The sequence below is a fragment of the Homo sapiens genome, chromosome 2 (genome assembly GCF_000001405.40).
Source record: "Homo sapiens chromosome 2, GRCh38.p14 Primary Assembly".
Lineage (NCBI taxonomy): Eukaryota > Metazoa > Chordata > Mammalia > Primates > Hominidae > Homo > Homo sapiens.
Genome location: NC_000002.12, coordinates 33223089 through 33235415, shown reverse-complemented (window position 1 = coordinate 33235415; position 12327 = coordinate 33223089). Strand labels below are relative to the sequence as shown.

At 36.7% G+C, this 12327-nt stretch overlaps 1 protein-coding gene across 65 annotated transcripts in view; it reads right to left on the bottom strand.

Annotated features, from left to right (window-relative positions):
• The window catches only part of LTBP1 (latent transforming growth factor beta binding protein 1), a 452557-nt gene that overhangs the window by 164094 nt on the left and 276136 nt on the right, over positions 1 to 12327 (bottom strand). The window lies entirely within an intron of this gene.

Sequence of the window (12327 nt, the reverse complement as noted above, 5' to 3'; positions counted from 1 at the left end):
CTCCACCAGCATCTGTTGTTTCCTGACTTTTTAATGATCGCCATTCTAACTGACGTGAGATGGTATCTCATTGTGGTTTTGATTTGCATTTCTCTAATGACCAGTGATGATGAGCTTTTTTTCATGTTTGTTGGCTGCATAAATGTCTTCTTTTGAGAAGTGTCTGTTCGTATCCTTCACCTACTTTTTGATGGAGTTGTTTGATTTTTTTCATGTAAATTTGCTTAAGTTCTTTGTAGATTCTGGATATTAGCCCTTTGTCAGATGGATAGACTGCAAAAATGTTCTCCCATTCTGTAGTTTGCCTGTTTGCACTGATGATAGTTTCTTTTGCTGTACAGAAGCTCTTTAGTTTAATTAGATCCCATTGGTCAATTTTGGCTTTTTTTGCCATTGCTTTTGGTGTTTTAGTCATGAAGTCTTTGCCCATGCCTATGTCCTGAATGGTATTGCCTATGTTTTCTTCTAGGGTTTTTATGGTTTTAGGTCTTACATTTAAGTCTTTCATCCATCTTGAGTTAATTTTTGTATAATGTGTGAGGAAGGGGTCCAGTTTCTGTTTTCTGCATATACAGTTACTGTAGCCTTGTAGTACAGTTTGAAGTCAGGTAGTGTGATGCCTCCAGCTTTGTTCTTTTTCCTTAGGATTGTCTTGGTTATACGGGCTCTTTTTTGGTTCCATATGAAATTTAAAGTAGTTTTTCTAATTCTGTGAAGAAAGTCAATGGTAGCTTGACGGGGATAGCATTGAATCTATAAATTACTTTGGGCAGTATGGCCATTTTCACGATATTGATGCTTCCTATCCAGGAGCATGGAATGTTTTTCCATTTGTTTGTGTCCTCTCTTATTTCTTTGAGCAGTGGTTTGTAGTTCTCCTTGAAGAGGTCCTTCACATCCCTTGTAAGTTGTATTCCTAGGTATTTTATTCTCTTTGTAGCAATTGTGACTGGGAGTTCACTCATGATTTGGCTCTCTGTCTGTCTATTATTGGTGTATAGGAATGCTCGTGTCTATAGCCATACCACCCTGAATGTGCCCGATCTCGTCTAAGTTTCATCTTTATGCCCACATCACTCTCTTATATATTCCCAAAAACCTTCTAGAAAGAAATAAACATAGCAACTCACTTATGATAATGCAACTGAAGGCAACTTTAGAGACAAAGCTGTAACTTTGGGGCAATGGGGTCTAAGCAGAGAAGTCAGAGAAGAACAAGATGGAAGAGGGGAAAAGGTGTTTAAATAAAAACATCAATGGATATTTTCACTTTATAAGGCAGAATTCTAAAAATAAAAATTGTGCTGGCCATATACTGTTGAGTGAAAGAAGCCAGACACTAAAGAAAACACTTACTGAATTATTTGAAAGTTCGTAAGATAAAATTGATCTGAAGTTGAAAGGGTAGTGATAAGCTCTAGAAAAGAGGGAGCTACACACATACACACACAGACACACACAAACCACTACTTATCTCACAAGGTTGTCTCCAATGTACTTAACACAATGGCTCCACTGAATAGTCATTCAACAAAAGTTAACATAAACAAATAAAAAATAAAAATAAAAAAAAAGTTAGCAAAATATATAAATAAGTAGATTGAAAAGTTGTGTAAGGCAATCATGAACAAAAAGTAAATTTACTAATATTAGAAAAAGGAAAATTATCACATTCTTATGCAAACAGTATCATAAAAAGAAAAGCTCCATGGGTCAGAAGCTATCATTATAATCTAGCTCTAGACCAACGGCCCCAAACTCCAAGTGGAAATTTCCATAAAATTGCTAGACAGAAAAAGGAAAAGGGTGGGGAGGATGAAAATAAACTTCTGATTCAAAGTGAGCTTATCAACCCAATTAAAAATTTTAATGCTTGTTTGCTAAGAAACTAATTGAAGCCAATGATTTGAACACAAATATTCTCTAGATGAGAATAATTTTACGAAATGGTCTTACCAAGATTCTTTAAGGATTTTTAGCATACCTTAACCAGTTAAATGAATACTTAAACAATATAAAACAAGAACAGGTAGCTATGAACAATAATTTATTAGAAACCTTGGAAATGAAAAACAGTCTTAAAATTAAAAATGTAACAAATGAGATAAAGCCTAGATGGGCATAGTAAAGCAGAAATTAGAAAATTGGAAAATGGAACTGAGATAACCATTCAAAATGCAGCGAAAAAGAGAATAAAAAGACAAAAGATTTTTTAAGAGCCATGAAAAACACACTCCAACTTTTGTTTAATGAGAGTTTCAGCAGAAAAGCATGGTGGAAAGTGATATTTGAAGACATAATAGGTGAACACTTTTCAAATTTGAGGAAAGACATGAGTTTTCAGAGTGACATTACACTGAGTAAAATAAAGATAAATCTAAATATAGACACATAATGATAAAACTACAGAACATAAAGAATTAGGAGATTATCTCAAAAGAGAGAAACACATTATCTACAAAGGAAGAGGTGTCAAAACACAGAAGTCAGAAGACTTTGGTATAATGTAGTCAAGCACCACTAGAAAACAACTATCAACCTGGAATTGTACACACGAGTAGTCTCATTATAAAATGAGTGCAAAATAAAGATATTTTCAGACACATAAAGTATATACTTTAGTGACCCTCACTAAAGGATCTGTTAAAGAATATAACCTCAAAATACAGATTAACCAGATAAAAATACAAGATAGCAGTCAAATTTGAATTTCAAATAAATAATTTGAGATGTACTTACTTTAAAAACCTATTTGTTGTTTATCTGAAATTCAAATTTAACTGGGTTCTGGATTTTATTTGGCAAATCCTCCCCAAAAGAAGAAACAAATGCAGGAAACAAGCACAGGATACAAGAAATACTGCCATCAGAAAAATGACAGTAAATTCATTTAACTATTAGCTATATGAGGGAAAAAGGCTTTATTTCCATTAGGTACACCTTTGACAATACCTGTAAAATAATGACTCTGGTCTAAGCCACAAATCCATTTTCTTTCAAATATCCAAGAGGTTGCCATAATGGCCTTTCAGTGTTCCATCGACAAAGATGCTCTCCTTGATCAAACTCTAGTCAGGCTCCTCTGAACCCTCTTCTCAACTAGCTCTGACTTCATGTATGCTTCTGTATTTGTCTCTGCATTGTCCAGTTTTAGCTAATATCCTCTTAAGTTAGTTTAGCCAGAATCCCCCATGCTGGATATCTGATTGGGTTCCTCATCTTCCACCAACCCCTAGGTAATGTCTGGTCACCCTGATCTGCCTTCAGCAAGAATACCCTCCTAGGATGGTTGAGCCAGAATCCCCCCTTACCCCTCATGTGTCCTCTTAGTAATTTTTCATCCACTGATATCACACTCTCACCCTCACTCCTTGGTGATACACTTTTACTTTTCCTTATTTTCAGAGTTGAGCCCAATCTCTCTCCCCTACCCCAAAACTCCACTGCAGTAGTTCTTATACCTGTTACAACAGTTACCTGAATAAAATCTGTCTTACTGTTCTTTAACAAATGTTATAAACAATATTTTTCTTTAACATTATGTTAAAAGCAGAACAAATCCAGTAAGTGTTTTCCCAGCACGTATCACAAAGCCCATAATTAATTGCATGCAAATGGTTCGATTAATTATAAGAGCTTTGCCTTAAGATTCTCAATCATTTCACCTCATTCTACATGTCTGTTTTAATCCAGCACTATGCTACAAGACACATTCTTTTCTCCAGCCAGGCAGGCTTTCTTGGGGGTCTCACCTGCACTTTCTAGTGCTCATTTATCTAGGGTTCTCAAAGCATTCAAAGACCAATCTGCCTTTACCTGCTCACAGTACTGCAGTTCACACTCAGTATTTTTTTGGTAATCATTAAGAAGAGGTCTGAAATGCAAGCTACAGTCCAGACAAGCGCTTTGTAGCCAAAAAGTCCTTATGCAGAATATTGATCAAGACTGTGGAGTCTCATTTAATAACAGATATGCCCCCTGAAAACAGGTACATTATCTCTTCTTTTGTCCAAACAAAATGTGATTTCAGATGCACTCCGAGGAACTTTTTATCTAAAAGGAGCCTAGGCTGAAAGTTTTGGTAATGAGTATTCTTGTGCCTCAATGTATCGGTTTCATAAATTTATTTTATTAAAGCAGAACGAGTATAATAAAACGATGCTGAAAGAAAGTTATGTGGCTAGCTCTTTCCTATTTCCTTTAACGGGCTCATAGGGAGCCAGCTAAAATTCAGCTAGTTCGAAGAGTAAATAAAGCACATTGCATCCTGCTCATTCAAAGTGATTTCATTACACTAAATTCTAAGGGCAGGAACAATGTCTTACCCATCATTCATCACACATACTTTCAGTCTATAGCTAGGAGTGCCCCAGCGATTAATGTTTGTGGAATACTGAGTCATTTAAAAAGTCTTCGAGATGATCTATGAAAAACGAATATACATACACTGAATTATAAAAGTGTAGATGTCTTTTAATTACATTCAGCACGTACTGAGGTACTGTGGTATTGCCCACAGTACGTGCCAAAAATGTAGCAAATAATACTAAGTTGATTTTATCCTTGTAAACTGAAACTGGTAAGTGACTTTGGTATGTCAAAAGAGATACTTGCTTTTAATAAAATCACTCAACAGACTGATTCCCCAAGTACTTTCAGAACCAAATTCTATTTTTGAAACTTAGATTTACATCTAACTTTTTAAGAACCCACTTATGGCAAAATATGGACAAAAGAGGGTACTCAGTATTTCCACTCAGGGAAGGACTGAGTATTAAAGAAAAGCAGCATGGACGTAGGAGCTCTTAGTATTATTTCATTTAATTCTAGTTCTACATCAGACCTTTATAGCATAATAATCAAATGACAAATGCTGCTCTAGATCCATCAGAGCATATAACTATATTGTTTGTTATGATAAATGAAGCAAATTATAACAATTCCATAATGCTGAGAGTAGCAAGGCTGTTTTGGAGCTCCATGTGTGTATATGTAATAAATCATCCCTTTGAAAAGATAATTGCAGCACCACTAGAGAGGAGGAAAAAAAACAACTTTGAGGGCAATTATTTGAAAGCTCCTCAAATTAACATGTATACAGTTGGTTCTTTGTTACTGAGTGCACATTAGTAAAAGTTGTTTCAGGACATTAGTTCACTTAGTTGAAGGAAATAATGTAATTCTAGTTATTAACCACTTTAATTTTAAAAGTGCTTTGTAAACTGAGAAGACATTAGACTGTAAGAACAATGTGGAAGGCACAAGCAATTAGATGCTAAATGGGCTCCTTTTGAAAACCTTTAGGAAAACAAAATCAAAAAGCTTCAAGGTTCTAGGAAAACTGAATGTACATATGTAATGTGAGCAAGTTCGATTTCATTTTACTGACCATCAATATCACAAAGGGAGTGAAATTAAGCCCTTCTCTCAATAGTAATTTCAATAGATTTACTGAATGAAATCATATTATGAGTCAAATGCCTTTGTAATGTAATTTAGCAGTGCCTCCTTGAGGACCCATGAAATAGAATTTTGTGTGTTACTTCACTTTAGAATCATTGCCAAAAAGTATAACACTGCTTTACAAATATCCTCCAGAGACCTAAGCCAGGATTTGGTGTTACCAGTAGACCATCAGCGAATTGACTAAGGCAGAACCATCTAATATGCTCAGTATGAACAAAGTTTGCTAAGGGTCAGTCAGCCGTACCGACAGAGGAAAATGCAAAAAAACTCATGCAATTACTTGAATAAGTCTCCATTCTAACATACAAAATAGATAGCAAGTGATTACTTGCAAATTTGCACTTCTATCACTTCTAAAGTGGTATTTTTATTAATATAAATTATTCAAAACATTAATCAGCCAGTAAAAGAAATGTATTGTACAACTTTCTCTCCCTCCGTCTCTCCTTCCTTCCTCCCTTCCTTCTTTCTTTTTAGAGACAGGGTCTCACTTTGTTGCCCAGGCTTCAGTGCAGTGGCACGATCATAGCTCACTGCAGCCTCGAACTCCCGGACTCAAGCAACCCTTCTGCCTCAGCTTCTCAGTAGCTGGGATTACAGGCATGCACCACCACACCCAGCAAATTTTTATTTTATTTTTTTTGTAGAGACAGGGTCTTGCTTTGTTGCCCAGGCTGGTTTTAAACTCCTAGCCTCAAGCAATCCTTCTGCCTCAGCCTCCCAAAGTGCTGGGAATACAGGCATGAGCCATTACATCTGGCTGATAACCATCACTTTTTAATGAAATAAAACAAAATTAATATTAATTGCTTTGACTTCTATTAGCTCTCACAACAGATGGCATAACTTCTAATTAGCTAGTATCTGCATTAGTGATATTTTACAAAATATAAACAAATATATAATTGGTAAAGGTGGCCATAGGTGGTATGAGAGTATAACCCTGGTTAGGGCCGGGTACAGTGGCTCACACCCGTAATCCCAGCACTTTCAGAGGCTGAGGTGGGTGAATCAGAAGGTTGGGAGATCAAAACCATCCTGGCAAACATGGTGAAACCCTGTCTCTACTAAAAATACAAAAAATTAGCCGGGTGTGGTGGCGTGTGCTTGTAGTCCCAGCTACTTGGGAGGCCGAGGCAGGGGAATCGCTTGAACCCAGGAGGCGGAGATTGCAGTGAGCCGAGATTGCACCACTGCACTCCAGCCTGGCGACAGAGTAAGACTCCATCTCAAAAAAAAAAAAAAAAAAAAAGGGTATAACCCTGGTTGGGCTTATTAACTATCTTTGTGACCCTGGGAAAGTTATTTACTTTCTCTGTGTCTCAATGTCTAATTGAGAATAATAATGCCCAAATCTCATAGGATTGTTTTGAAGATTAAACCAAGTACATAGCATATGGACTAACCCATAGTAAATGATCAATAAAGGTTAGTTCCCTTTCCCTAAAGCAGAACAAGACGGTTGATAGCATAAGTTCTGGCCTCATTCTACCTTGGTTTAATTCCTGCATGTAGCACTTATTAGCAATATGCTGCACAAATGACTTAGCCTCTCTAGGTCTCAATTTCTCCTGTAAAATGGGGTATAATAGTGCCTACTTTAAATAGAAAACTTAAAGGCTAATGGAGATAACTGATATAAAGTGCTTATTAAACAAAGCATCTGGCACACAGTAAATTTAGTTATTAAAATCAAATTAATTCATTATTTATTTCCCTCTTTATAAGTTTATGACTTCTGGGCTTACAAACATAGTTTATCATGAATCACTACAAATATGTTGGTTTTATTTGTAAGTCATTGGTACTGGACCAAATAAAATAAAGCTATAATAAGAGCTTCTTGGCCGGGCGTGGTGGCTCATGCCTGTAATCCCAGCACTTTGGGAGGCCGAGGCGGGCGGATCACGAGGTCAGGAGATCAAGACATTCCTGGCCAACACAGTGAAACCCCGTCTCTACTGAAAATATAAAAAAAGTAGCCAGGCATGGTGGTGCGCGCCTATAGTCCCAGCTACTCAGGAGGCTGAGGCAGGAGAATTGCTTGAATCTGGGAGGCAGAGGCTGCAGTGAGCCAAGATTATGCCACTGCACTCCAGCCTGGCGACAGAGCGAGACTCTGTCAAAAAAAAAAAAAAAAAAAAAAAAAAGAGCTTCTTATCTCATCAATAACAAATGAACCCTTTCTTCATCCACATCAAATCTATTTTTTAAAAATTGGGCCTCTGGGTTCACAAAAGTGAGTAAGACTGGGTCCTTGATGTCTGAGAAATCAGCCTGTCAGGAAAAGAAAGAGGTGAACAACAACATATAATGTGAATAAATAATTCCAACACAGAGTAAGAGGAAATCCTACTACTGTCTGGGAGACTGTCATGGTGGTTTTCACTAAGGGTGTGGCATGGGGCATAAGTAGGGGATTGATTTTCAGGCCAAAAAGAGGAGCTACTTGGAGGCAAGATTTCTATATTTTCTGTTTAGAGGTACTATGTTAACTCTAAATAGGCTATGAAAACTTAAACTGTCAAATTCCTGATTGCTCTAGGAATTATAATACAAACGGTCTATCAGTTACTACATACATTATAATTCCTAGAGTAATCCCTTTAAAATAATACAAAAAGGCCAGGCACAGTGGCTCACACCTGTGATCCCAGCACTTCTGGAGGTGGAGACGGGTGATTTGCTTGAGGCCAGGAATTCGAGACCAGCCTGGCCAACATGGTGAAACCCCATCTCTACTAAAAACACAAAAATTAGTCAGGTGTGTTGGTGCTACTCAGCTACTCAGGAGGCTGAAGCAGGAGAATCACCTGAACCCAGGAAGCGGAGGTTGCAGTGAGCTGAGATCATGCCACTGCACTCCAGTCTGGGCAACAAACAAGACTCCGTCTCAAAAAAAAGACAAAAAAAAAAGGTAAAATGATGCAAAAACATATTGGTAAAAAGCCAATAGATAAAATGGAATTCTAAGAAAAGGGAAAGAAAAGAACAAAAAAATTCCTGATCAGACAAAGATGTTTAGATAGACCTAAATCTAACCACATCAATAATTATGAGGTAGGAGATCAGCAGGACTTATTTTCTGAGCACTAATCATGACCCTGCTAATCAAAATAGGCTGTAGCAGAAAAAATGGCCAGAACCAACTGAGGGCCATGAAGGCAACCTCTAGTCACCCTCACTGCTCATTAGCATAAAGACACTCCTACCAGCACTATGACAGTTCACAAATGCCACGACAGTGACCCAGAAGTTATCTTACGTGGTTCCAAGAACTCCCCACTTATTTTCTAGAAAATTCGAAATAACCTGCCCCTTAATTAGCATATTATTAAGAGTGAGTATTAAATATAGCTAGCCAGCAATTTACAGGGACTGCTGCTCCGGATGGCTACTGTTGCTGTACGCTGCTGCTACTATGCTGGGCCACCCCACCTCTGGGATAGCCCTGATCTGCCTATGGAGCAGCCATTCTGCTGTACCTGCTACTCTAATAAACTTGCTTTCTTTCACTGCTGGCTCAGCCTTGAATTCTTTCCTGAGCAGAGCCAAAAACCCTCTCAGGCTAGGCCCCAACTTTGGGGTATGCCAGGATCAATTACTTTAGATTATACTGCAATAAACACCCCTATTAAGAGGCAGAGATATCAGAATGTAGAAAAGAAGCAAGACTCAACTACATGTTGTCTATAAGACACCCATTGTAAAGGTAAAAAAACACAGACTGAAATTTGCCAGAGGTGAAAGAAAAAAATCCATTCCATAATCGTAGCAGGCAATTTTAACACCTCTCTCAACAACTGATAGAACAAGAAAAATTTCACAAGTATTTGCATATTAAGCAATATATTTCTAAATAATCCATGGGTCAATAACAAAATCAGAATAATTTTTAAAAATTGAACTTATTATTGCAGCACCAGTCATAATAGCCAAGATATGGAATCAACCTAGGTGTCCAAAAATACATGAATGGATACAGAAAATGTGGTGTATATACAAAACAGAATACTAATCAGTCATAAAAATGAATGAAATCCTGTCATTTGTGTAACATGGATGGAGTTGGAGGACATTATGTTAAGTGAAATCAGCCAGGAACAGAAAGTTAAACACCACATACTCTCACTCATAAGTGGAAGCAAAAAAAAGTTGATCTCACTGAAGTAAAAAGTAGAACAGAAGATAACTAGAGGCTGGGAAGGGTAGAGGGGAGGTAAAGTTAAAGATAGATTTGTTAAAAGATACAAAATGACAGCTGATATCATTTGGCTGTATCCCCACCCAAATCTCATCTTGAATTCCCACATGTCGTGGGAGGGACCTGGTAGGAGGTAATGAATCATGGGGACAAGTCTTTCCCTTGCTGTTCTTGTGGTAGTGAGTAAGTTTCACAAGATCTGATGGTTTTAAATATAGGTGTTCCCCTGCACAAGTTCTCTTTTGCCTGCTGCCATCCATGTAAGATGTGACTTGATCCTCCTTGGCTTCCACCATGATTGTGAGGCTTCCCCAGCCATGTGGAACTGTAAGTCCAGTTAAATCTCTTTCTTTTGTAAAATGCCCAGTCTCGGGTATGTCTTTTTCAGCAGTGTGAAAACGGACTAATACAACAGTTAAATAGGAAGAATAAGTTCTAGTGTTTTGTAGTTATATAGTTTCAAATAGGTAGAAGGAAGATACACTGAATGTTCCAATTATAAATGTTCAAGATGATAGATTTGCTAAATACCTTGATCTGATCACTATACATTTTAAGTATCAAAACATCACTACATACCCCATAAATATGTACAATTATTATATGCTGATAAAAAATAAAAGGAAATTTTTTTAAAACTTGAACTTAAAGATAAGAAAATGACACAAAATTAAGGGACACAGTTAAAGTCAGAATCTAGACTGATAGAAATTTACAGCCTTTTATTTACATTTCAGAAAAAGAAGAAAGGCTGACATCAATGACCTAAGTATGCATCTAAAGAAATTAGAAATAGTAGCAATTGAACAAAAAGGTAGAGGAAAAGAAAACAAAGATCAGAAATTAGTGAAATAGACAAATGTTTTCAACAAAACAAATAACTGATTCTTTGGGGGAAAAATTGGTAACATTGATAAACCACTGGCAAGCCTAATTCAAGAAAAACAAATATAGCACAGGTAGCAATATAACTAAAAGGGATGGGGGTTGCTATATAAATTAAAAAGAAAAGAGGATATTAGGAAAACATTTCATATTAATACATTTGACATTTTGGATAAAATGACACTTTCTAAGGTAATACAGATTATTAAAACTGACACAAAGTAGTAATGGGAAATCTGAATAATAGTATAGCTATTAATTTGCTCCATAACCGAAACACTTTCTAAAAGAAAACTTCAGGACCAAATGTCTTCTCCTGTGAATTACGCTAAATACGTAAGGAAGAAATAACACCATAAAACTATCTAAGAGAGAGTAAGCCTTCTGTCTTCAAATATCTATGAATGGTAAAAAATGGCAAACAAATAAACACACCATACCAAGAGAACATATGTATATTTTATCCATTTGACATTAAGAGAAATTAGGAGCATCTGACATTCTGGAAAATGTATCTAACAATTAGCTATGCAGGATTGGATTAGTGAAGGATAAATAAGGACCCTCCTCTGTCCTCTAGTTTAACGGAACAACTACAAGAAAGCCTTTTCTGTGGAATAGAGTTCCCCAACAACCTTGAAATGAAATGTCTTTGGAAGTACTGAGCTTCCTGTCCACAGAGGTGATCTGATAGCTTCTTAATAACTATTGGCCAGGGATATGATAAGAGTATTTTTATCCTGAACAGCATATAAGGTTAGATGGCCCATAGGCACATTCCAGTTCTATGATGCTATCATTACCATCAGTCCCCTGGGACAGAGACTGTGCATGAGAAGAAAGGAATTACGTCTCAGCCTTTCACATAAGTTTTAGCCCCTCGACACCGAGTTTCCTGAAGTGTCCCCTGTTATTAGGTATGTCTTGTTTTGTAGGACAGTTAATCATTTAGTGGCCTGTTTACAAACATTTTAAGGCGTGTTTATAGGGCAGCCATAATATTTCTCTTCAGTCTGTACTTCTGCGTGCTAAACACACTCATGTTTCTAGGTCCTTCACAAACTTGGTTGACTTTATTAACCAAAAGACAATAATGAACACTGAACACCCAAACCCCAAATCAGTCTGAGGGGCACAGTGTACAAGGTTGTTACTTCCACTGCCCTGTTCATTCCATTTCTACTAATGCATCCTACAGATGTGCTAAGGCTATAGACTTTTATCCAAATCTATAAAACAATAACTTGGTTTATATTGTAAAACATGCATCTTAAAATCTATTCATTATTTAATTTAACCTACTCATTCATCCATCTAATTAATTCAATGATACCTTAAATTCTGACTCTAAAATAATGTAGATTAATCCACTATTCCCATGTTACTAAGTTTAGCAGATGTTTCTCAAAATGTGTCATGGGTGTCCTCTCCTTAAGTGGTTAATTCTAATTTTCTCAACATTCTGTGACACATGAGGGCTTACAATATTTTTAAGACAAAGTCTTTCAAAGACAGACTGTATGTGCATTTCTAAATAAATTCTTTTATGTTACCAAAGACTCTACATATCATAAAAGTTACACAGATGCACTATAGACAATTGAGAAAATTCTCAGATAAAAAATCAAGATATTCCTTTGGCATGAGCCATTTGAATAGGGTGATAGACAATCTACTTGAGAAAATTCTCAGGTAATCAAGATATTCCTTTGACATGAGCCATTTGAATAGGGGGTTAACCTATACTCTGTAACATGACCTTAATCTACTGT